We start from the raw sequence: 25092 nt of genomic DNA on the forward strand, positions 1-25092 counted from the left end.
TCGTTCTGTTGCCAGGCTGGAGTGCAGTGGTGCAATCTTGGTTCACTGCAACCTCTGCCTCCTGGGCTCAAGTGGTTCTCCTGCCTCAGCCTCCTGAGTAGCTGGGACTACAGGCACCCGCCACCACACCTGACTAATTTTTGTATTTTTAGTAGAGACGGGGTTTCATCATGTTGACCAGGATTGTCTCCATCTCTTGAGCTTGTGATCCGCCCGCCTCGGCCTCCCAAAGTGCTGGGATTACAGGCGTGAGTCACCGCAGCCGGCCGAGATGTTTCATTTCTTGTCACACTTTGGCCCCTTTCTACTCCTAATTGAGGAGAGGGTAAGGCCTACAGAGGGGCCCAAGACAACAGTTGAAGCTGCTTTTTGATGAGACATACAGGAAACACCAACCATCTAAATAAACGTCCTCTTTATTTTACCAAATATAATTTATCAGTTAAGTTGACATTTGTCAATTCAGTTATAGTAACTATAAATAATTCTCTTAAGACACAGTTCTGTAACTTTTTAAGGATACGAGAGTAAACCAATATTGCTCCTTGCAGCCAGGCCAAAAGTACATGCAGTTGGTACAATCGGGGAAAAGAAATGAAACTTCCATGAAAGTCACCTTCATTTTCTTTCCCTCTCACCCTACAGTCCTCCTCTGCTCACTCAGGGCCTGGGGCATGCCTATCTGTCTGCTTTTTAGGCAAAGGAGGTCACTCCAGAGTCTTCTGGGACTGCCTGGCCAAATTCCAGAGATGAGGAAGGGGCGAGTGACTGGGGTAGGGGTGGCTGGAGACCACAGGGACACAGCCTTAGGGGCAGAGGAGTTGGTTTTGATGCCTGTACAAGAAGAATCTGTGTGTAAGTATTTTTTGAGGTGGAGGAAAAGATGAAAAAAGTCCAGAGGGAGGAGGAAAAACAAGCCCAGGCTGGTGTTAATGAATTCTGTTGGACACAACTCCAACTAGAAAACCTCTAAAATTCCTTCCAATTCTACGGTTCTATGATTCCAGAAGGAGGCCTGGAGGTCTGGGTAGAAATGGAGGGAGAGAAAATATGGTCTCTGGAGGTCTAGGGCAGGTTCCTGGGATAAGGTGCAGTGTTGGTAGAAACAGGATCATTGCCTAAGCCTTCCCTTGGAGGTGGGCCCTTGAGGCTACAGATGGAAGGGTTTCTGTAGAAGCTTCTGAGAGAGAAGTTAGAAAAAGCCTACATCCAAATCCCCAGATCTGTACACGTGTGACTGCGGATGGAGGCTCCAGTTTTCTCCCAATTTTGTGCTAGGCAGAGAAAAGTAGAAACAACCAGATGATGTCCACCCTGCTAGTTCTAAATCCTCTTTTGGGTGCTTGGTAAGGAGAGGTGGAGGGAAGGGAATGTGAGGAAGGGTCGTTTAGGGAAATAAATACTGGTTGAGCAATGGGGCGGTGGCTCTAGCTGTGGTCAGCACTGCACAGAGTAGGGGTCTGGAAAGGAGAAAGAGGCAGAAGAATCTGGCTTGAAGTAGATGCAAATACTTACAACGAGGAAACTTTCTCTGCCAGATTCAAAGGGGCACATGGCCTTTGTAACCTGGAGAATGAGGTGAGGTTAGAGCTGTGTTTCCCTTACCACTGGCTTATCAGTGCCTGGCACAGTACCTAACACATAGTAGGCACTCAATAAATATTGCTCAAAGAATGTTTCAGACCATGCTTGTCTGCAGGAGAGCTCATCTTGCGGAGGCTGCATATTTGCTAAATGAACGAATAAATGATTGGTGAATGTTTGTGGGTAGAAGCCAAGAAAGAGGAAAACTGACCTCTATGGCATGACAGAACGAGTAATTTTAGGAAGTGACAGGGTCCAAGGTGACCAAGTGATTATGTCCTCAGGAGAAATGGCAGCAATGAGACACCTGTGGTTGTCCTCAACCTCCAAACCATTCTCCACATACCCATGACCTGACCCTAATCTCAAAACCCAACCTGGCAAGCTCTGGGGAAGGTAGTGCTTAGAGACAATTTGAGATGAAGGTTGAAGAGAGACAAAGAATCTGGGCCCAGGGAGACAAAGTCATTTGGGCCCAGGGAGAATGTGGATTTTGGGGAACCAATAGGTGGACATGGGTCAACAGGGAGAAGAGTGCACTGTTCCATTTTTTCCTGGATATGACAATCAACTGGAAATGATCAGAGGGAGGGGTTGTTGATGTTGACCAGGCCATTGAACAAGAGGCATGTGCACAAATTGAAAAGTCAGTCCACCTTACTCTTTCTGCGAGTGGGAACGCTTAGGTCCAGAGGGCAAGAGAACAGAACTGGGATCACAGGGGCCTGGAGCAGGTGTCTCCTGTCCAGAGCTTTGAAGTTGGTCCACTTCTACAAAAGTATGTCTGTGTTTGGGAGTGTTACTTATTCTTCTGTCCCTCTGTTCAACCAAAACCAAAAATAAAACAAAACAGATAAAAAGAAAACAAAACCAAAAATCCAGAGCCCACTTACAAAGGGTTTCTCATTAGGGCCAAGACAGGTTGCTAAAGCCAAACCCCATGTCCCCAGATTCCAGACAAAACTCCCCTGCTCCAGTCCACATCACCTGGAGGCACCCACCATGAAACTGCACTTGGTGATTGTCTCAAAAACCTACTTGTACTGCTTATCTCAGGCCATCTGTGTTTCCCAAATTCTTGCTATACAAACTTGGCTCAATGTATAAAAATTCCCATTGAAAATAATGAGAATTTGGTATCAAAGTGAAGTCCTAGAAAGAGGTGGGAGTGTGGGGTGGAGGAGGGACAGGGGAACAAAAGAAAAATTTCAAATAGAAAGTGCAGAGGGATGGGGAAAATGTTGAGTGACCAAGCTAGTCCCCGACATCCGTGTCTCGGTCCCCTATGAGCCAGAGAACATGGAAGCTGAGTGCTAGGAGCCCAGTGCCAAGCAGGTCCCCCAGAGCAGTCAAGTATGGGATGGAGAAGTTGTCCGGGTCCAGGCCCCGGCCCCACATCCAGTGCACCATCCAGTCTGCGATGTACAGGAGAATCAGCACCTGGGGAGACAAAAGGGCCCAGCCTATAGCCATCCTCTCTCTCCAGGGGGAGCCAGAGGCCACATGATCAGACCCATTCAGTGCATCACAGGGCTTGGCTGGCCATAATCCTTACTTTTTAATCTTCCTCTTTCCACCCCAGCAACCTCTCTGTGTTTCTCCACCCCACAATTACCACTTTGAGCAGACAACAGGCACAATAAGAGCTCTTTAGAAAGGAAGATGCTGCTACGACCCAGGGTCACCCACATCAGCATTATATTCTGCTCCCAAGTTTACCAAACAAGGAGCTTCCTGACCTAAATCCTACTTGTTGCAGAAACTCAGCCCTCTTGCCTCTAACTCTGGGTCACCTCATTCTGGGGTCACTCCAATTCCTGCCATGTTGGCCTTTCCAGGAGCATGGCAGGGGGCTGGCTGCTGGAGTCAGCTTTTCCTAAAGGGATGTCTTCTCTCGGCAGAGTGGTATAAGGATAGTGTTTGAAGCTGCTGCTGGCGGTTGTCTTAAGTAACAGATGATCATCCCAAGCTGGCTTCCTCCTGACCCTTTTCATTCTGTTGTTGTGGCTTTTCATTCCATTCTTTTCCATTGTTTGGGCTCAAAGAATGCAAGTTTATTTTAACATTAGTCCTAATAAAGTTGAATTGTGAATAAGTCACCTCAATATTAATATAAAGCAGACAATGCATACCAATTCAAAATACATTTGACATGATCTGTGGCTTTGATTTTATCTGTGTTCTTGCTTACCTTCTATTAATACAGATAATTAAGAATGACTCAGATCAGAATCTCGCTAGTGGGCCCAGGACCAGCAGCATCAACAACAGCTGGGTGCTTGTTAGAAATGCAAAATCTCTGGACCTCTTGAGTCAGAGTCCGCATTTAACAAGATTTACATGCGCTTTTAAGTTGGCGATGCCCTTGATCTAGAATACCACGGTGGGGCAGGCCTGAATCTCCTAGAATCTGCACAGTGCCTGACATTTGGGCTCCCTAAATGACTGCATCTGCGTGAGAATGAAACAGATTCTGACGGTCAAGCTCTAATACAGTCAGTCATCTGGGAGGTTTTACCCTTGACTATACTTTGTAAATACTGTGGTATGAAAATTCTGCCCTAAGGGATCCAGATGCGGGAACCACAGCCCTTAAGGGATCCAGAAGCCAGAACTGATACCTATTTTTAGGCAATCTTGGTTGCTCTCCTGTCCTCTCTCTTTTTTTTTTTTTAAATTTTAGGCTCTGCCTGAGAGAATCCTGCCCTCTCTCCAAGGAAGCCAGAGATGACTCTTCACATTCTCCCTTGCTCTGCACACAGCTGTCTTGTGCTACCACGGCCTTGGCTCCCCTACCTTCCATAACTTCACACCCTTTCCAGCAGCTGCAGAAGGGTCCCAAATAAAGAGCATGGCCAGGAGGCCTTTGGGACATGCCCTAGGAAGGGAATGGTAGCAGCTGTCCTCACATTCCAGCTTCTTGAGCAGGCCCCAGGACACACAGCTGGGAGGAGGTGGCAAAGGGATCAATAAGAGCCTTTACAGGGGATCAAGTGTCACGCTCTGGCCCTCCACAGATCTAGAGAGGACAGCAGAGGCAAGAATGTCTCCAGGGTATTCATCATGGGTGATGGCACTGAGGCTCATCCTTTCCAATTCAGGCCAAGGGATGAGCTGAAAACCTCCACCACAGACCCCTGGCATATCCACCCCCATCTTCCCACCACGTGCTGCACTGGAACCCACTAGCAATGGAATGTGGCAGCTTGGCTAACTGCTGCAGGGCAACAGCATATGGCTGATTCTCAGCCCCGCCCCTGCCAAGATGTCCGAACACAACCTTTCTAAAGCTGGGGGTGAGGGGGCTGGAGGGATAGGTGTTAATCAATACAGGACTGGCGAAATAAAATTATGGTCTGTGTATCACAGAATATGATGGAGCTGTAAGAAAATCAGGGTGTTGTTCTCTTTATGTATTGATATGGAATGATCTCAAAGATAAACTTAAATGAAAAATGCAGGGTGCAGACAGTGTGTACAGTATACTACATGTGTGTAAAAAAGAGGAAGGAAATAAGAAAAATATATGTTTACTTTTATAAATATAGAATAGGTTTGAAGGACACACAAGAAAGGGATAATACTGATGGTCTGTGAAGGAGAGAAACAGATGGCTGTGAAGAAGAGGACAGAAAAGAAGACTTTTCACTGAGGTTTCTCTATGAACCTTAAAACATTTTTGAACTATGTGACTATTCAAAAATCAAACCTATAAAAATTTAAAATGTAATAATAAGGGTGGATCTAGCTGTAAAGGGATAGCATAAGGGAGCCTTGTGGTGATGAAACAGTTTTCTGTATTTTGGTTATAGTGGTGGTCACACAAATCTCCACTTGTGATAAAAACTGCATAGAACGAACACACACGCACACACACACACGAGTGCATGTAAAACTGGTTCAATCTGAATAAGCACTGCAGATTGCATCAATGCTAATTTCCTGATTTTGATACTGTCCTAAAGTTATGCAAAATGTTATTTTCCCATGGAGGGAAATTGGGTAATGGTATATGGGATTTCTGAACCTTTTTTTTGAGAACTTCTTACAAATCTGTAATGATTTCAAAATAAAAAGCTTTTACAATGTAATAATACAAGAAGGGAGAAAGTGTCATGGTATTATGGAATGGCAAGGCTACACAGGATCCGACAGATTATCTAGTGCAGTGGTTTTGACAGTTTTTCAAGCTATGGGATGCTTTATGCAAATGAATTTCTTGAGAAAGCTCAACATGCAAAACAGAGCCATGTGGAGCTCTGTGGCCAGTGGGGTTGGCATGCAAACCCCACAGGCTCAGCATCCTACAACCACCTGCATGAAAACTACCACCCCTGGTCCATTCCTCTCAATTTACAACTGTATCGCTGAGGATCAGGGTAGTAAAAGAACAGGGTCAAAGTCACACACCATGTTGGTGACTCTACTGGAACTACCATCTGTTCTCCTGCACCCTTGTCTGGTGTTTATCAGCTGCCCTGACACAGAGAAAGAGGAGGTTGAGTGTCTAAGAGGCCAAGTCTGGCCTCCTCTCCCATCCCTGCAGGGCATCCTGGCTCCTTCCCATGCCCCTGCTCCTGCCACTTTGTACCTGGAGCAGTGCAGCTGTCATATAGAAGATGATGAAGATGAGTGTGAGGGTGGTGTGCCCGCCCTGCATACAGCTGATGGTGTAGAGGAACACCAGGTGTCCTGGGACCACGAGGAGGAAGAGGACCCGGGCTGAGCGAGAATTCACATCTGGAATTGGGGAAAAGAGGGTGTAAAGAGGAGGGGAGGAGAAGACCTGGCCCCAGAAGGCCTTTCAAAGTCAGGAGGGACGGCACCATACCCCAGGGCAACAGACAGATGAATGTCTCTACTTCTGCATCCTGTGGTCTCCAACCCCTAGGGTGCTCCAGGAAAAGACAGCCCTCCTGCCTGGGCTCTGCCCTTCAGAACAGCTGGCACAGCCCAGCAGAGAAGGAGAACCTGTGGATCTGGGGCCCCAGCTGTCTCTTAAGTGAAGCTCACTGACAGTAGGCCCACTCCCCCCAGGGCTGGGAGGCTGGGAATCTGCCGTTACCAGGGCTGAAGAAGGTGGTACAAGGACTGGGACAGCGGCGAGGAGCTTGCTCAGAGTTCTCTCCGGGCATTCCATTCATGTGCAGGAAGGTGGAGATGCGGCTGGCCTGCACTGCCACCAGATTGCCCCCAACACCTGCAGAGACACATACGGGCTTAGACACAGACAGAGGTCAGAGGGAGGAGTGGGAACAAAATGATCTTCTCACTCTTTGTCTTCTATCTATAGAGGCACTGTCCTCTGTCTTAATTTAGGGTCTATGTGGGCATCACCCATTCACCAGTCCCCAAAAGAAGAGTAAGGCACTAAGAAGGAAGACAAAGACCCCTGCTTCCAGTGCATCTTCCAGCCTCCCCCATCCTCCCCTCTATGGAGATGCAGCAGTTCCATGTTCCCCTGGCAAAGCTGTGACAGTGCCGGAAAGGATACGTGCAGATCTGCAGACTCAGAGAGCCTGACTTCTCCACCAGTAGAGCATGGGCACCTGCCTTCCTACACAGCTGAGGGGATGAAGCCCTGCCTTGCCTCACCGCCTCACCTCCTCTCCAATGCTCTGAGCAGACCCAGGCATCCTATGGTCATATGCTGATTCTGGTAACCAGTTTCAAGGATCAGGTTTGAGCTCCAAACTCTGGAATCTGGTATCTCCGCCAGGACCTGTGCTGATTTCTCTGTTGCCCTCACATCCCAACCTGCTCCCTGCTCTTCTCAGCCTTGCTCTGAGCTCTGGGGGACTGGTCTCCACAGACTGCATTACCCAGTCTCCCTTGCTGGCTGCTTCCACTGTTTGTTCAGTGGGAGGCAACAGCAGGCAACCAGAGGGCAGGTGGAGAGAGAGATCAGGTATTTCTTTCCCAATCCCTCCCTGCTTTTCAGCATTGGCTTCCCCATGTTGGGGGCAAAGACAGAGCTTTCACTGGACTCCTATAATGCTATTCCCTCGTTACTATGGTTTGAATATAGTTTGTCCCCAACAAAACTCATGTTGTGGCTTGGTCCCCAAATGTGGTGGTGGGAGGTGGTGCCTTTAAGAGTGAATAGGTTATTAAGATGGATTAATGTCTTTCTTGGGAAAGGTATAGTTCCCATGAGAGTGGGTTGTCATAAAGCGAGGTTTGCCTCTCTTGTTTTGCCCATTTTGCACATGCCCAGTTTTCCTTCTGTTTCTCCATTTGGATGTTTGGATGCAGCATGAGGCCCTCACTAGAAGCAGCTGCTCAATCTTGAACTTCCCAGCTTCCAGAACTGTGAGCTAAATAAACTTCTTTTCGTTATAAATTAGCCAGTTTCAAGTATTCTGTTCTAGCAACAGATAATGGACTATGATACTCCCCTTGACCCTTTAGGAGTAGAGGCTTCCCATTGCTGCTAATCTCTCGGTGCCTCAACATCCCTTATCTGTCCTTTTACTCTGCTCCCACCTCTGTAAGCAGTCCCTTCATTAAGGTCTTGAACCATCTGAGCTAGATTCTCGTCTGCTGGAACCCTGACTGATACAGAAACCAACCCCTTAAGTCCTCTTCTCCTGTCCCTTTCCTTCCCCCAGCCCTGCCCTCTGATAGCTGATGCCCAGACCTCACCATTAATCACAGGCGTGAAGACAGCCATCCCAGCAAAGTTGGGGTCTGAGACAGTCTTGTCCAAGATGAGGCCTCCCACACTATAGAGACATAAAGACAAAATGACGCAAAGACCACTGAAGGGTTCTGCCTTAGTCTCTGGGATGAGAGGTCCAGGCCCACCTATCCTTGGAGATGAAGGGAAGCACCATGGCTCTCAGGAGTTCCTCACCATCCAGTCCTTGCCTCCCTTGACAGGATTAGGTGCTGCTCATAACATTCTGACTGGGCACAGTGACTCCAGAACAAGCTGGTGGTACTGGGTCAGGCAACCACCTCCTGTACCTGCCCTCTAAGTTGGCCGGAGGAGCAGCCTGCAGGACTATCTGCCTCTGAGGACCTCTGTTGTTCTGCCCACTCAGCATTTACTTCCCTTTCTGGTGATAGCACTGGGCTCCTCCACAGGGAACCACCTCTCTCAAGCTCAGTGACTGTGGCTCAGGTGACAATGCCTCAATGATAGCTAGGCTCCAGGTCCATCCAATCAGAGGATTGCAGCCCCAAGGCCACGCTGACTGGTTTGGAGATAATCATGTCACCAGATGAGAAGCAGTGGAACTCTATTCTGGGACTTTGTGGAACTGTTGGGGGAAGAATCTCTCTTCCCACTGGAATTTGTAGGAGTAAGAAAAGCATAAACCTGGGCTGTAGGCCATGACAGAGAAGAGCAGAGCTAAGAGTCACAGAGTACTGGGGCCCTGATCTTAGGTATGTCGCTGAATTCAGCTGTGCCTTTTTGGTTCTCCAGGCCAATACATTCTGCCTTGGAATGAAACCCAGTTCAGATGGTTTCTGTCATTTTCAACAGAAGGACATGTGACTGAAACACTAATGAACACATTTCTAGGGTCTGACCCCCACCCCATCTCTCCAGGGTTTAAAAAGAAGTCTGTGGAAGGGTTGGAGTGGGGTAGGAGTGGATACTCAGGGCCCCAGCCTACCTGCTGATGGCCATGGCAATGATAACAGGCTCCCAGCCCGAGTACAACACCTCCCTTGTGGCTGGACTTCGTCGGGCCAGCACCACCCAGACAGGCAGCAGGGCCACAAAGAAAGCACACACCAGTGGGTAGATGTATCGCCAGTGATCTGAGAGGGCAGAGGTCAGAAGGAGATAAGCACTGTGTTTCCCTACCCTAAGTTTCTCCCTGGCTCAGCCTGAAAATGTCCCAACAGATCAATAGCAAGACTACACTAAATGCCAGTAAACACATTATCCCATTTGATCTTCACTGGCAGCTCAGGAGGTAGGTGGGACAAGCCTTTTCCATTTTATGGATGAGGAAACCAAGGGAGAGAGCTAGCCAGGCACTGAGCCAATTAGGGACAGAGACCAGAGGACAGAGACTCTAGGTCTCTTGATTGGAGCCCAGAAAACACCATCTCCCACCCGCTTCTTCATTTTGCAAGCAGATCTAAGCCTCTGGTTCCTTTCCTTTACCCTTTCCACCTCATCCCTCCAAGAGAAGTAAGAATCTGCAGGACCACACAGGAATATACTTCTGATACTTTTCCCCTGCCCCTGATGCCTGCTTGAATTTGAGATCAGTACTTAGCTTCAAATCTCTAAGATCAGGAATTATTACAACCTGTGTTCAAACCAAATAGTTTAAGAACACAGAAGAAACTCTTGCACATTTGCAAACTACTACCATCTCTCCCAACCCCACCCAGGACTCCAAGAAGCCACACTCTTGGTGGCTCACTCAGTTCCAGGTAGAGTCCCCAGCTGATGCCTGAGAGCAGCGCCAAGGTGATGAGGTCGCCCAGGCTGGCAGCAATGGGTGTGGCCACGTTGTCTGGGTTGATCCCAATCTTGCGAGAGCCAATGATGACTCCAATCATGATCATACCTGGTGAGCAAGTGGGAGGAGGGGCAGGCAGGGTGAGAAGAGATAAAGGAGTCTCAACAAACAAAAAGAGAGAGTGGAAGTGCCAGGTGCAGTGTTCTCTGGGGCGGCACTCCTTACTCCTCTATGCCCTCCCTTTCTTACCCAGTACCAGGGAGGCAATGAAGGCTGTGGCCACGCTGCTAGCACAGAGCAGGAAGGCGTGCGGAATACTGAAGTGGCCATCAGGGATCCAGCCAAAGACGACGGCTGCGATGGACGCCAGGAAGCCCACCACCGTGGCCTGCACCTGGGGACAGGAGTGGTAACTCAGAAAGCCCTGAGAGCAGTGGGCTTCCTAAGCTGAGGTCATAAGCATCTGGGCAGACCTCTTCCTGGCTGGCAGTAGCCCCAGGAGGCAGGCTGGACTGCATGGTCCAGTCCTCCCAGGCTGGAAGGATGTCTTTATTTATTTAGGTTCACACCAGCCACTAGTACTGGGCAGTGCACTCTGCAGGAGCCCAGAACATGTTACTGGCTGAATGAGTGTGCCTCTGGGGATGGGAGTGAGGTTCAACAGAGCCGGAGACTTCCACCCAGAGTCAAGGCCTGGGCCTCAAGGGGGAAGGCTCCCAGTCTGAACCTGTGTGGTCTCATGGGGAGATGGGACAGCAGTGGCACAGGACATCTCAGCACTCCTGAGTCTGCTCATATTGCCAGGATCTGCTGGGACTCAAAGGCACGTGCACCACCAAGAACTGAGAACCAGAATGGGTGATGCTGGGCCCTCCTCATCTTGGGCGTTTTCCTGGGTAACCTAGTTACCTCCTAGAGCTACTCTGGGGGAAGCCAGCTCAGTGGGATACTGGAGATTCACTCAGGAGCCTGCTGGGGCTGACCTAAGCCTTTCAGAGATTCCTGACTAAGGGGAAGCTTAGCCCACCCTCTCTGGTCCCTGCCTTCTTACCTGGATGAGGGCCATGTTCCCAGTGATCATCCGCCAGAGCTCCTTGGGTGTGTCCATGTGTCCAATGTTGGCCTGGGAAAGGGAGGGCAAGGGGCTGGAGCTTCAGGCTGGAAAAGGCCTGAAGCTCCATCCATTAGGCTCCTGCCTAGATCATGAGGCAGTACATGTGGCCTAAGACTCTGAGAGCAGGACCTGACAGTCCCGGAAAGGTGAAGCAGGATCAGGGAAACTGAGGTGAAAGGGAAGGAGCTAAAGCTGGGCTCCTGCAGCTGGGTGGGGGGTTGGAAGGGGGTCCCCTAGGCAGTCGCCTCTCTTCCTCTCAGGACACCAGCTGAGCAGAGGCAAATTCTATCCTTTGCCCTGCTTATCTGGGCAGCCCATTCCTGCATGGGTCAGAACAACCCAGTCCCTGACTCTGAAGCCAGCCTGCGATCCCAGGGAAGGAAAGGTCAGCTGCTGGTGCAGGACTGAGGCTCCAAGAGTATTTGGGAAGGAGTGGGTGGCATGGGCCAGAAGTCGGGTATGGCAAGTCAGGGTGGGTTAACTTGGATGCCACTTCTGTCTGTCACCTTCTCTAGACTCTTGACCCTGCAGGGAGATCCCTGGCCTCCTGAGTTTTATCATCTCCCACCTCCAGCCCAGGGCCCTGTATCTGTTCAGGCCCGGAATCGTCACGGCTCACAACTGTGGGAGGTAGGAATGACGAGCAGCTCCTCTCTGTCTGTTTCCTTAAAGAAGAGCAAGCTGCCATGGGTAAAGGGAATGGGATGGCCGGGGGGCTGGGGGTGCTGGGAGGGCCTGGCTCTGCTCCCGCCCAGCTGCAAAGCAGGGGCTGGAGATCAGAGGAGGCCCCCATCTGTGCGGGTGGAGGAACCAGCATGATGCCTGCCTGTCAAAGCTGCACAAACAGTCACGAGGTGGTTGAGAGGTAGGGGGTGGGGCAGGAGTCCAGGGGTGGCTGGGACATCCAGAAACCAAGCCTGGGAACCACTTTGGGCAGGGAGCCCCTGCCCAGGAGCAGGACACCCAGCCTGGGATCTCCCTACACCTGCCCAGCCAGGCCCTCCCTTCCCACCCCAGCCCCACACTCCAGGCCTGGGCAGTGGAGAAGGGCTCGTAGCCCTCTCCCAGTCTCTGGCTCTGTGCTGCCCAGAGTCCTCTCTGTGCCCCACTCCTCCCAGCCAGGATACTCACTGCAGTGGAAAGCCTTGATGCCAGGGTCATTTCCAGGTTCCCTTTGAGCCCCAGCAGCGCAGGCACTAGGATGAAGACCTCTGTCACCTTCTGGAAGACTTCCCAGTGCTACGAGGTGAAAACAGAACCCAGGAATTTCAGTGCCCCAAAGGGCGGGCATTGAGGTTCAACAGGTAGTCTGAGATCAGGGGCTCGAGGAGGAAATAGAATCAGCAGGGAGTGAGCACGCCAGCCACCTTTCCTCCAAGAACCTTGGAACCAAACCAAGCCCATGATTCTTCAAACAACACAACCCCCCTTCCTGCCACCCAGAACCAGGGAGATGGAGAGGGTTTCTGCCGGTTGGGAGACTCTCAGTCTGGCCCTACCTTTTCTGTTTTCCTGGAGGTGGGTGGGGAAGGGTAATGGGGACCCACACAGCTGAGCTGCCCTGGGCTGCCTGACACCCCAGAAATCCTTTGCAATCCCCCCTCAAATTGCAATCCCTGGCCCCTTTGCCTTCAGTCCAGTTTCTCTGTTGTCTCAGCTGTGAAGAGTTGGGCTCCACAGGGCTGGGGCCGAGGCTGGGGAGATTAGAGAGTTTGTTTGGTTTCTATCTCCAAGGGCTTTGGGCCTCAGCCACAGCAACTCTCCTTCTGAACAGGCTCTGAATTAAGACTGTGGCCCCTAAACCTCTGAATGCTGGCCTGCAAGAGGCTTTTTATTTCTCTGTGCACTGCCTTACCCCCACACACCTTCCTCAATCTCTCAGCTAGGAGAAGCAAGTGTACTCCTGTAGGAAGAGCCCTGGACCGGGAGTCAGGAGACCTGAGTTCTAGTCCCAAGACAATCAATCCTGGCTCTCCTACCAATGTCTTTGGTTAACATCTATTAAGGACTGATTGTGTGCTAGGCTAAGTGCTCTCCATGTATTTTCTCTTTTAATCATCTTAACAACCCAGTAAGGTAGGGGCTATTTTTATTCTCATTTTGTGAATGAGTAAACTGGGGTTCAGACAGTATTCCACTAGTTAGTGCTAAGAGGACTGCAGGAACCAGGACTGGCTATTTGAAAGCTACTTTACTTGCAATTGAAACTGAGGACTTGCAAAAAGGTTTAGGATTGTGTCTCCCTCCCTGGCCCTAACAGGGTAGGTGGTTTCTTTTATTTGTTTTAAGAATGGAAAGCCTCCAGGTTTGGAGAGGGAGGAGGAGGCAGGAGGCCAGGCGGATATATATGGGTTGGTCTGCGTATCATGGCTGGGAGGCCAAGCACTATGTTTGGCAAGGGCACTGGACCAAGAGCCTTGGGTCTCCTACAGGAGACAGCAGGGATGGCCCCCTGCTTATCTCCCCAGTACACCTCCTCACGTAGACCGGCTGGACACCTTAGACAAGTTACAAGGGCCTCAAGCTCTTGAAAAATGTTCAATTCAGGGACCAGATCAGATGGTCTTTCAAGGCAATTCCAACACCCACACTCTGTCGTTAAAGATGAGCAGTGGCCGAGCGCAGCGGCTCACACCTATAATCCCAGCACTTTGGGAGGCCGAGGCGGGCAGATCACCTGAGGCCAGGAGTTTGAGACCAGCCTGACCAACATGGAGAAACCCCGTCTCTACTGAAAATACAAAAATTAGCTGGTCGTGGTGGCACATGCTTGTAATCCCAAGCTACTCGGGAGGCTGAGGCAGGAGAATCGCTTGAACCCAAGAGGTGGAGGTTGCAGTGAGCCAAGATCGCACCACTGCACTCCAGCCTGGGCAATAAGAGTGAAACTCTGTCTCAAAAATAAAATAAAATAAAATAAAATAAAATAAAATAAAATAAAATAAAATAGATAAAATAAAGTTGAGCAATACTGTAGATTAGTAAGAGATCACCTCACACTCATTAGGATGGTTACTATTTAAAAACCCAGAAAATAATCAGTGTTAGCAAGGATGTAGAGTTTGGGCTGGGCATAGTGGCTCATGCCTGTAATCCCAGCACTTTGGGAGGCCAAGGAAAGTGGATCACTTGAGGTCAGGAGTTGGAGACCAGCCTGGCAAACATAGTGAAACCCTGTTTCTACTAAAAATACAAAAATTAGCCGGGAATGGTGGCGCACACCTGTAATCCCAGCTACTGGGGAGGCTGAGGCAGAAGAATTGCTTGAACTTGGGAGTTGGAGGTTGCAGTGAGCCGAGACAGTGCCACTGCACTCCAGCCTGGGTGACAGAGCAAGACTCCGTCTCAAGAAAAGAAAAAAGCATGTGGAGATTGGAACCCTTGTGCACTCTTGGTGGGACTATAAAATGGTGCAGCTGCTATGAAAAACAGTACGGTGGTTCCTCAAAAAATTAAAAATAAAACTACCACATGATCCAGCAATCCCACTTCTGGATATTTATCCAAAAGAATAGAAAGCAAGGTCTTGAAGATATATTAATATGCCCATGTTCATAGTAGCACTATATGTAATAACCAAGAGGTGGAAGCAACCCAAATGTCCATCAAGGAATGAATGGATAAACAAAATATGCAAAGTGTGGTACATATATACCATGGAATATTTCTCAGCCTTAAAAAGGAAGGAAATCCTGTCATATGCCACAACATGGATGAACCTTGAGGACATTACTCTAGTCATAAAAAACACTGTATGATAAAACACTCAGATAAAAAACACTTATCTGAGGTATCCAAAGTAGTCAAATTCTTTTTTTTTTTTTTTTTTTTCTTGAGACACGGTCTCACTCTGTGGCCCAGGCTGGAGTGCAGTGGTGCAATCATGGCTTCGGGCTCCAGCCATCCTCCCATCTCAGTCTCTCGGGTAGTTGGGACTAGAGGCATGCACCACCACACCTGGCTAATTTTTGTATTTTTTGTAGAGACAGGGGTTTCACTATATTGCCCAGGCTGGTCTCGAACTCCTGGGCTCAAAGGATCCTCTCGCCTCGACCTCCCAAAGTGTGGGGACTACAGGTATGAGGCACCGAGCCCAGCCTAAGTAGTCAAATTCATAGAGGCGGAAAGAAGAATGGTGGAAGCAAGGCGCTGGGGGAGCAGGGAAAAGAGTGAGTGTTTAATAGGTACAGAGCTTCAGCTGGGGAAGATGAGGAGTTCTGGAGATCTGTTGTACAATGAGGTGAATATACGTAGTACTATTGAACAGCACACTTAAAAAAGGGTTAAGATGGTAAATTTTATGTTACACATTTTTTACCACAATAACCAAAAAGATAAGCAAGGCTATCAGAGGGGGTGGGGCTAGGGCTTGAGACCAGGAGAGGCTGGGCGCTGGGTGGCCCTATAAGGCAAGAACCTCTCTTTTCCTGTCGGAGCTCTCCCTGTGTGAATGGGGTGGGAGGCCTCACAGGATCCTGGGGAAGGACTCATTTCACTGGGGCTGGAGCATACGCTTGCCTGAGCTTCTGGTCTGGCCAAGACCTGGGACTCTCCTTAGGGAAGCCCCACCGTAGGGACTAACAATGGGGAAGAGACTGCCCCCCATCTCAACAACAGTTACTGGGCTTCCAGGCAGCCAAAGGATGAGCCAGCCCTCTCCAAACACTGAAGGGAAGTGAATCCCTTCCCACCCTAAGACCCCCCAGAGAGAAGGCAGCCCCAGTGAGCCCCATCTGCCCTGGAGCAACTTGGGGACTGTTACTCTTGGACACGGCTGGTACATACCACTGAGGCTCCAGCTCCCTGCAGTCTGGCCTTGCTCTGCTTCGCCTCCTGCTTCCTCCCAAACCAGCTCCAGAGAGGGGAAAAATCCCCCTCTTCTCCCCTCCCTTGCGGGCTTTCAAAGCTCCTCTCAGAGCACAGCCTCAGAGCTCATCTTCACCCCAAAACACCAGCTCCACCCTGCTTCCAAGCTGCCAGCTCCATGAAAATCTGACTTCTACAGGTAGGTGTATGTAATGTACATGTACTCATAGAAAGAAAAAGCCCACAAGAAGACTCCACATGTATGCAAGCAATGTTTTCTGAGCTGTTTGTAATGAATATTGCTTGCTTTTATTATTATTTAAGAAAAATGTATAAAGCTCAGCTAAGTTCCTCTGGTTGCTACCATAAGCACCCCAAATCTCTCTACCTCCCAGCACAATGCACCCTCTCCTTATAGCTACAGGAGGATCTACAAAGTACGGAGTGTTAGGAGCAGTGGGATAAGAGACAGACAGGCAAGGAGAGGGAGCAGTCACAGTAACAGCCCCTATGCAAAAGTCTTCCCGACTCTTACAGAATATAGCCTGGAACCTCAAACGACCTGACCCCAGGCCAGCAAAGCCCCGAGTTGGCACTTGGGTCAGAGAAGCCAATTCCTACACACATACTTTCTTCACCCACAAACCCTCTCAAAGCTGCAGCTCAGGCAGAAAGCCTCTGACACATGGGCATGCATAGGACTCTGGAAAGAGATGCTGGAGGCTGGAGATGTGGAGCCAGCCCAGGAATCAAGGTGGCCTTAAGGTTAGGAGTAGACAGGATGGGCAGGGGCAGACAGTGAGTAGCTCTTCTTCCTCCTTTGGCCAAATTCAGCCCCATCCTGTTCATCCAGGCTAGGAGTATCTGCCCCTGAAGTCACACCCGTCTGCCAAGCAGCCACCCACGCCTTCCTGCTCTGATGGGGATGAAAAAGGGCATGTTCCAGGAAGTGCTGCCCTGCTTGGAGGTGAGGGGAGCATCTAGATTTTAACTACTTCTCAGAAATGCAGCTCCTCATCTCTTTCCTTCTCTAACCTTGGTGTGAGGGGCTCATGGATCCCTGGTATTCTGCAGGTGAGGGAATAGACTGCCTCCCCCATAGCCAAAATGAATCCTGAGGCACAGCAATCACCTTAAGTCTCGATCCTCAGTGGTCCTGCCAGTACCTCTTCCTTGCCCTTCCAATGCGCCTCTTCCATCCTTCACCTACTCCAATCCAAGCTCATACACTGACCCTGACCTGCCTTCAAGGGTTCTGGCCTGAGCCACCTCAGGAGGGTAGCAGCAGGGAAGAAAGTCAGAGCCAGGAATCAAGACATTAAGAAGACTTAAATTCCCAGATACAAGCTTTAGGCTCCAGGCTGGGGAGAATCTGGGCTCCTGTGGGAGAAGCTGGGCTGGAGCTGATCTTTTAGGGTAAGGACTGGGTCAGATGAGATTACAGTAACCCCAGGCTTCACCTGTCTGAGGCTTTTCCAAAAGGCATCCTCTAGGTGTCCAGGAAAGGGCTTTAGGGCAACACCTGGATATACGGTGCAGGACAAAGCAGGAGCAAAGCAAATGGGTCCCTGACAGCAGGCAGGGGACAGAGATGGGAAAAGCAGAAGGGGTGGTCAAGTGAAGCAGATAAGAGTGTCCCGCCCAGGGATGCTGCGGCCACAGGAGCAGGCCAGGCACAGGAGGAATACTTCCTTCCCACTCTACTTCCCCAAGGCCACGCTTGCCATGCACTTTCATCGTTGTAGACTTCTGTATACACAGCAGGATCTACTTTGTTCAAGATCCTTAGCAGGTGAGTAGTGAGTTAAAATAAGGACCTGTCTTAACCTAGCTGGGAATTAAAGTGCAGATGGGCACACTACTTCCTGTCACCCCATCCCTCACAAAGGCTGACAGATAAAGGGAGTGAGACATCCGGAGCAGCCTAGGACCAAACTGGGCAGATGGGCACAAGGCTCCTGCAGTGAGGAGGCTCCCATATCCCAACCCCCTTCAGAAGCCAACACCAGGCCCCAGCCTGCTTCCCTTCCAGATGCTGCAGGAACTTTCAGCCATGGTTGGGAAGTTAGAGCAGATGGAGGTCCATTTATCCTTTTCCTACTTTGGGCCAGCACCAGCCCCTTATTTCACTGCAGATGCTGCTGTGCACATTTACGGGAGGGCAGATAAGAGGAGGCAGAAATGACCCTTCTAGGAAGAGAGTGGGTTTTCTTTTTCTTTTAAATTAAAATTAAAATTCAACTTTTTATTTTTATTTTTTTTGCATCTCGTTGGTGAAAAAGAAACCAAGTTTTCTACAGCAGCAAGGAAAGATGGGGGCCCTGGACCAAGGAGACATCTGAACCAGGCCCAATATGGACTCCTGCTCAGTTGCTCCAAGATGCTGGGGACACTCCATAGCCAGCTTCTCCAGATGGCCCCATGGTCTTGGGGCACTTTCAGATTCTCTTACTGAAGTCCATCTTAGCTTATGAAGGGGTAATATAGGTGTGAATCCTTAGAAACCATCCCGCTCTTCCTGAATCTGAGATTGTCAGTCCCCCTTTTACTCCCATGGATGTGGAATAACAATCTCCCTGTGGTCCCATGTCTCGGTCCCTCTGCACTCACCCCCTCCTGCCATCTCACTGTTGCCATCTGCAGGGCCTGCTCCAGCCCAGCTGTAGCAGGAAGGCTGGGGGAGGAGGACATGGACAAACCTGTCATTGTCATCCACACCAAGTGGACCCTAGCTCTGAGGTGAGCTGAGGTGCCACACTGAGAGCAGCTCCAAAGGTTCCCTACCCAGGCCTCTCAATGTCTCCAGCTCATGGGCCTGGAGTGGGGATGGGGCAACACATCAGAAACTTTGGAATCTAAGTGTGTGGGATGGGTAGGGGTGTGGTGTGTATGCGGGGGTCCCTCCCTACCCCATCTAAGAACTTTTATTCTTGCTCACTTCAGAAGATAACGCTAATTAATCCAGATTCTAATCCACCCAGTTCTTCAAGGAAAGACAAAGAAAATAGGCTCCTCGTAGAGTCTTTTTTTTTTTTTTTTTTTTTTTGAGACAGCGTTTGGCTCTGTTGCTGAGGCTGGAGTGCAGTGGTACAATCATAGCTCATTGCGACTTCAAACTCCTGGGCTCAAGTGATCACTCCTATCTCAGCCTCTCAAAGTGCTGGAATTATACGAGAATGCCACCATGCCTGACTATTTTTTTTTTTTTTGGTAGAGACAAGGTCTCACTTTGTTGCCCAGGCTGGTCTTGAACTCCTGGCTTCAAGCGATCCTCCTGCCTCAGCCTCCAAAAGTGCTGGGATTACAGGCATAAGCCACCATGCCCAGCCAGAGTTTTTTTTTTTTTGAGTTGGAGTCTCGCTCTGTCACCCAGGCTGGAGAGCAGTGGCACGATCTTGGCTCATTGCAGCCTCCACTTCTCGGGCTCAAATGATTCTCTTGCCTCAGCTTCCAAGTAGCTGGGACTACAGGTGCCTGCCACCATGCCCAGCTAATTTTTTGTATTTTTAGTAGAGACGGGGTTTCACTGTGTTGGCCAGACTGGTCTCAAACTCCTGACCTCAGGTGATCCGCCCGTCTTGACCTCCCAAAGTGCTAGGATTACAGGCATGAGCCACTGAGCTCGGCCCCCTCTCCGAGTTTTTAACCAACTGGTGAACCATGGCCATGGCGAAGGCCACAGGGGTTAGTGGTGTGGGCTCTAGGGTCAGATGACCAGGGACAAGTTACCTAATCCCTCTAAGCTACAAGTTCCCTACCTACAAAATGGAGATGATTATGGATCCTACCTCATGGGCCTACCGAAGAGCCCCCCAAATGCTTCCCCACTACCATTACTATTATCCAGAAAATAAGACAACTCTCTTCAGTTCACCTCTGGACCCTGGCTCTGCAACCCTTTGTAGGTATCAAACCAGAATGCAACAACTTCAAGAATGAGAACTGAGGCCACAGGAAAGGAATAGAAGAGGTGAAGAAAAATGTTACCCTAGTCTCTTTCTCCTCCTCCTACTGTCCCAGTCCCGGCCCTAGGGGGAGGAGCAGCCCCTAGCAGGAGGAACCCAAAGCTCCAGGCTGGCTTCCCAACCTCCATGTAGGAACAACCTTCAAGATAACAGTTTTGGGGAAAGGGGAGGCAGTGCAAGGCACTTTGGCATGACTTAAACAGCACTCTCATGAGCAACCAAAGGTGCAGGGTTCCCCTGAAGGGCTCAAGTCAAAGTTCTCCATGTGCACACACTATCAAGAACCAACCCCCTTCAGTCTCCCAGGACACAGGCATGGTGAGACCTACCAGCAGAACTCTATATCACTATGGTCTGTAGGGTTGGCTTGGCACAGGGAAGGTGATGCTAAGCTTCGTGTCCTTCTGGGAGATATCACAGTCAGGGAACACTGGGGGTCCCAAAAAGCAAAGGCCAGATCTCCTCCTGCCTTGGTATTAATATTTCTCTGAGTACCTAGGACAGAGGCCAGCATTCAGCAGGAATTTGATACACATTGCTGAATTACTTAGGTAAACCCAGCACCTTCAAAAAGTTTGGTGTGCCACACTGTGCCTAAAAAACTTTTATCTAAAAACAAAACTTTAACTCTTGGACCTGGAGGTTCTTCATAAGTCCTGACTCACAATAAATTAACATGGCACATCTCTGGCTCTTAGATTCCATGTCCCACCGACTCTCATCCTTCATTCTACCCAATGTCCTCAAAAAGAACCCTCTTTGCCCAGGGCAGGTTCAGAATGACAGGTGAGGAGCAAAGAGGAGAGACAGTTCTGCCCAGGCCTAGTTACATTTTGTCCCCATTTACAGCAGATAATTAGCACATTTGGGTCTTGTTACACCAAATCTCCAAATCATGCATCAGACAGCAAGTGCCCACCCCCACCCCCCAAGGGGATTATGCCAAGGTTACAGGAAGATAAGCAACACAAAATGCCTTCAAGAGCCTTCCTACTTAATTTGAGACCCTCTTGGCAGCTGAACAAATTCCTGCCCAGTAGGGGGATGGAGGAGAGGCTTGAAACTGAGCTTTCTACTATGGGTATCCTTGAAACCCCAAATGCAGGGGACAAAAGGCATAAAGAGGAGACCCTTGTAAATGTCTCCTACTGAGCTGGGCTCGGCAGGACTGCTTGGGAGAGATGGCAAGCAACGACCCTGTTCCATCTCTCCTCTCCCAAGCCTGAGCTCGGGAGCCAATTCTGTTTCTATTTAGCAATACTGCCCTGATCACCTCCCCAGGGCTACTCGGTTTCCTTGAGGCTTCTGTAGAAAGGAACTAGACCAAGAAGAAACCGAGGACATGATCCAAAGGAAAACAGTATTCTAGGAAGCAGCAGCCACTTCTGACAGGGAGGTAGAGAGGAAGTTCCAAGTTTCCCAGCAGGCAAAGGTGGCCCTGGGCTCACAGTCAAGAGCTGCCCTACTCAGGTCCTACCTGCACGATGTCCAACACCATGCCAGCAGCCACGGTCCCAAAGCCTGCCAGGAGGAATGGAAACAGTACTTGCAGCCCGATGGAAAAGGAGGTCTCCTTGAGCGGGGAAGGTGGCGCAGGGCCACGGTCTGTGCTGACGTCGTCACTTTCGTTGCTCTGGCTCCCGTTCTCCAGCAGGGCGTCCTCCTCCCGAACCCCCTTGGCGTTGGCCCGAGACTCAATCACCACCTCTACCCCAGCCCCATCAGGCCCCAGGAACTCTGAGGTCCCAGCCAAGGGCTCTCTCCCTGGGCCATCTGAAGAGCAGGGAGAGGCAGAAGGGCCAGTCCCGTTCAGTTGGTGGACGTCCTTCGGCTCTGGCTTAGAGGACATGACAGGCACGGAGGAGGGGAAGGGAGAACTTTCCTCTCTTCTTTTTGCTTTCTCTCTTCTTCTCTAACTTGGGAAAGAACTTAGTCTTGGGGTGAACCCAGGCTTGGGCGCCGCAGGACCTCTTCCCACGGCTCTCCACTCCTACCAGGCACTGCAAAAACTGATCCACCAACAGGCAGCCCCATCAAGCACTGAAGCCGCAAGCTGGGAAGAAACAAGAAATTCCTCACCAGACAGCCACTAGGGGTGCAGATGCCTGACTCCAACCCACCAGCTCTGTGCTTGAAGAAAAAGTATCTGTCCTCTTATCTTCTTTGGTTCTCAGTGGCAGGCTCCTCAGAGCAGGGGGCATCCAGAGTAGAAGAGCTCAACCAAATTCTGGGGTGCCCTCTGAAGTGGCCCCTCTTCCGTAAAAAGCAGCTTGAGTTCAAATCTTTCAGAACACAGTGCCAGCCTGGGGCTGCGGCTCCTTCCCGCTCCTTTGGCTGGGCTCTGTCAGCTTCCCACAGCTCCTCAGGCTCTGCTGGTCCCAGCGCAGCGTCTGCCGTCTTTCCCTTCTCTTCCAGAAACTTCCTCCCTTCCTGGGAAGAGCTAATACCTCTTCAAATCCCTGGTCCTTAAAGTCACGAGAATCAGTGTGGAACACCTTATGTGGGAAGGAGAAAGAAAAGAAAAAGAACATTACACTATAGCAAAGGACAGCTTGTACTGGGAGAATTTCCCCCCAAGGAAGTTAGGAGTTCATCATATAGCTATAGAGTTTGCTATTTGCCTCCCTTTTTCCGCAAAAATTACTCAGTCCTGCACTGCTCCATCTGGAGGCTCAGCAGGAGCTATCCCCGCCATCCTCCCCACCAGCAACCCTCCTGAGGGATCACCACCGTGGTCACCAGCAATGAGATGTGACCAGCCTGGGATTGGGAAGATGCTGTGCAGAAGCCCTCTGCACTGTTTCCTCAGCAACTGGGGGTGGGTAGGTGTGTCCTCAGCAAGACCCCTTCTTGAATGCCCATTAAGAACCCTGCATTATTTAAGTGGGGTTCAGTTACAAATTCAGTCACAAACTCCCTGCCACACAGCCACCCCTGTATAAAGTGACTGCTTATCATCACAAGACAGCAACAGAAAGACAGCCACACAGGGCAAAGAAATAGGGAGAAACTGATTGCTGAGTGAAGTCCCCCAGACCCCAGATCGTTCTAGCTTCTGAGAAAACAAAACAAAGCTAGGAGGACTCCCTGGGCAGTGGGGCAAGCCTGCCAGACCAAGGCCAAGAGCCAGAGGCCTACCCACTCCTGCCCTTGAGAGTCAACAGTGTTACAAAGAGCTCAGACAGCTGACTCGGATCCAGGCCTCTGTCTCTCCCCGTCTCCCCCTGCTCTTGGCCCTGTGAGCTTGTCAGATAGGACAAGGGAGTTATCTCAGTTAGAAGGGACAGAGCATAAAACGATTGCTTATTACCCACGCATTTCAGTTAATTAGGCTCCTCCTGTTCCCCAGGGTTACTGAGAGTTGGATATAGTGGAATTCTTAGAAACAAAAACAAAAAAACAAAAGTAGCAATAAAAAAAACCCAAAACAAAAACCAAAGCACCGTAAGCCAATATGCACTTGCTCCAAATGCATCTCTTTAGCTGTAATGGCTCCACTTCTCTGCCTAAAGGAATCCCCAGGCTTCCTAATTCCTGATGGACTCCCATCCTATTCCATTTCACCAGAAGAGCTCTTATTCGTAAAAAATAAATTTAAAGAGAGTTCCACCAGGTAAGAGGAACAGGTCCTTAAGTATTCCAAACACACACAATTAGTCAAGTTCAGTTTAGGAAAGGAGGTATCAAACCCCAGGAACTGGCCCAGGAGAACTGTTTCCTCTATCAATTCAGTCACCCACCAGGACTCCCTTTTCCAATCTCCTTAAACACAGTACTGTGGTTCTTTCAAACTCCCTCACCAGAGATCCAGGAGGAAACCTCTGAGTCCAGTGCCCCTATGCCAGAAAAGTTTCTGAGTCCGCTAAAAGCTGACACCCCCGCCTCCCTCCTGTGTTCCTGGCAGGCCACTGAACCTGAGAGGGGGCTCCCAGGAGGGGAAGCCAGTCCTCCCTCACCACTCCCCCTGTAAAGAGACTTCAGACAGGCCTAAGGCCCTGGGACGAAAGAAGCAAAAGTGAACCAGGACGCCCTATCCCCTCCTCCCAGGCGGGGACAAAAAAGACCCATTTTAGTATCCCCAACCCCGAGGAGGGAGAGAAAGTAACTGGGTGGCCTCCTCAGTCTCTCCACCACTCAGATTCAGCAAATGCGCTGCGCGCCAGGACTGCCGCCCTCCACCACCCCCTCCCCGCCCCAGGACCCCACAGGACTGACCTGCCCCTCGCCTGGGAGGAAGGGGGGCGCCTGGCAAGTGGCAGCGTGGCCCGTGGTCTCGGGGGGTGCAGGGCACCCCCTCTTCTCATCACTCCTCCTCGACAGTCCTCCTTGGCCCCCGGCGTGCCCCCCCACACCCCCAGCCAAGGCGAGCGTCCAGCCGCGACACCCGGCTCGCTACATTTCGCTTCTGCGTTACAGCGAGGCCGCCGCTCCGCTTCCACGCGGGGGAGGTGGCCGGGGAGGGCAGGATATATCGCTTCGGGCCCGGCGGGGGGGCACCCGGACGGGGGACCGGGGAGCCGAGCTCACGCGCCCCCAATCGCTTCTTGCCCGCGGACTCGGGCCCAACTGGTTGGCTGCCGGTGGCAAACGTGATCTGGGGCAGACTGGGTGGCACCCCCCCCGCTCCATCAAAAATAGATTCTCGGATGGACAACAGCAGCAGCCAATCAGGGACTGGGGAGGGGGCGGGATCAACCTCGGCCCGGCCCCCTTCCTTCGCTTCGTGCCCAGGAGGCGGGGCGCCGGGGAAACGCAGTAGGAGGAGTGACGGGAACCGGGAGCCGGCTCCATGCGCCTGGAGCGCGCGGGTCCCAGCGCCCATCGGCCCGGGGTCCGAGGGGCCCGCTGCCCGGGCTCGCTGCGTGGTGCTACCGCCCCCGGGCCCGCTGCGCCGCGTCGGAGCCCCAGCAGACTTTGAGAGGCGTGTGCGACAGTGCGCGTCCTCTCCTGCCTCTGGATGTTTCCTTGGAGCCTCTGGCCTTCGGGAAGACCGGTAAACGTCCCTGTGGAGCCAGCCAGCCAGCCACCTCTGACCCCCGGGCTCAAGCAGCCAGCCGCGTGCTCCCTCCTCCCACTTGGTACCCGGACAGAACAGTCCCTACCTTGCTCTTCTCCCGCCGGCTCGTCACTTTAGGCTCCCTCCAGATTCCGCGTTCCTTGAGCAAATGGCTCACCCCTGACGAATCCGGCCTTA

The 25092-nt window shown here is 50.9% G+C and overlaps 1 protein-coding gene across 2 annotated transcripts, besides 7 other annotated features; it reads right to left on the minus strand.

Moving 5' to 3' along the window:
* Nucleotides 1-400: 400 nt before the first annotated feature.
* On the minus strand, nucleotides 401-24504 carry SLC41A1 (solute carrier family 41 member 1). 2 transcript variants are annotated; one of them, NM_173854.6, is made up of 11 exons: nucleotides 24114-24504; nucleotides 21376-22393; nucleotides 12259-12366; nucleotides 11065-11136; nucleotides 10263-10407; nucleotides 9975-10121; nucleotides 9210-9357; nucleotides 8230-8309; nucleotides 6650-6784; nucleotides 6176-6324; nucleotides 401-3024 (listed from the first exon to the last, which is right to left on the minus strand). In NM_173854.6, exons 2-11 carry the CDS (start codon nucleotides 21745-21747, stop codon nucleotides 2839-2841), a joined length of 1542 nt encoding a protein of 513 aa, NP_776253.3. In that variant the 5' UTR covers nucleotides 21748-22393; nucleotides 24114-24504; the 3' UTR covers nucleotides 401-2838. The 2 variants fall into 2 exon arrangements, with proteins under 2 accessions (NP_776253.3, XP_047272843.1); XM_047416887.1 differs by lacking the exon at nucleotides 24114-24504 and having other exon boundaries at nucleotides 21376-22395.
* Nucleotides 2938-2997: an enhancer, noted in NCBI's record as "active region_2390". NCBI's record gives its function as "activates an Ori minimal core promoter by ATAC-STARR-seq in GM12878 lymphoblastoid cells {active_cell/tissue: GM12878}" and the evidence as "EXISTENCE:reporter gene assay evidence [ECO:0000049][PMID:35858748]".
* Nucleotides 11320-12270: an enhancer, noted in NCBI's record as "H3K27ac-H3K4me1 hESC enhancer chr1:205769142-205770092 (GRCh37/hg19 assembly coordinates)". NCBI's record gives its function as "activates a minimal SCP1, AML or CMV promoter by ChIP-STARR-seq in naive H9 embryonic stem cells {active_cell/tissue: H9 hESC(naive)}" and the evidence as "EXISTENCE:reporter gene assay evidence [ECO:0000049][PMID:30033119]".
* Nucleotides 21569-21800: a silencer, noted in NCBI's record as "fragment chr1:205779391-205779622 (GRCh37/hg19 assembly coordinates)". NCBI's record gives its function as "represses an EF-1alpha promoter that drives an FKBP-Casp9 reporter gene in an ReSE screen in K562 erythroleukemia cells {active_cell/tissue: K562}" and the evidence as "EXISTENCE:reporter gene assay evidence [ECO:0000049][PMID:32094911]".
* Nucleotides 24235-24494: a silencer, noted in NCBI's record as "silent region_1749". NCBI's record gives its function as "represses an Ori minimal core promoter by ATAC-STARR-seq in GM12878 lymphoblastoid cells {active_cell/tissue: GM12878}" and the evidence as "EXISTENCE:reporter gene assay evidence [ECO:0000049][PMID:35858748]".
* Nucleotides 24235-24864: a biological region, named in NCBI's record as "H3K27ac hESC enhancer GRCh37_chr1:205782120-205782620".
* Nucleotides 24298-24798: an enhancer, noted in NCBI's record as "H3K27ac hESC enhancer chr1:205782120-205782620 (GRCh37/hg19 assembly coordinates)". NCBI's record gives its function as "activates a minimal SCP1, AML or CMV promoter by ChIP-STARR-seq in naive H9 embryonic stem cells {active_cell/tissue: H9 hESC(naive)}" and the evidence as "EXISTENCE:reporter gene assay evidence [ECO:0000049][PMID:30033119]".
* Nucleotides 24635-24864: a silencer, noted in NCBI's record as "silent region_1750". NCBI's record gives its function as "represses an Ori minimal core promoter by ATAC-STARR-seq in GM12878 lymphoblastoid cells {active_cell/tissue: GM12878}" and the evidence as "EXISTENCE:reporter gene assay evidence [ECO:0000049][PMID:35858748]".

The sequence above is a fragment of the Homo sapiens genome, chromosome 1 (genome assembly GCF_000001405.40).
Source record: "Homo sapiens chromosome 1, GRCh38.p14 Primary Assembly".
NCBI lineage: Eukaryota > Metazoa > Chordata > Mammalia > Primates > Hominidae > Homo > Homo sapiens.

Bases quoted from the DNA above. Each gene is read 5' to 3' on its own strand.
- SLC41A1 (NM_173854.6), bottom strand. From the start codon at position 21,747: ATGTCCTCTAAGCCAGAGCCGAAGGACGTCCACCAACTGAACGGGACT. The intron at 10,122-10,262 runs GTAAGAAAGGGA...CTTGCTCACCAG, and splicing joins CATTGCCTCCCTGGTACTGG to GTATGATCATGATTGGAGTC. The intron at 3,025-6,175 runs GTACAAAGTGGC...TTGTCTCCCCAG, and splicing joins TGACAGCTGCACTGCTCCAG to GTGCTGATTCTCCTGTACAT.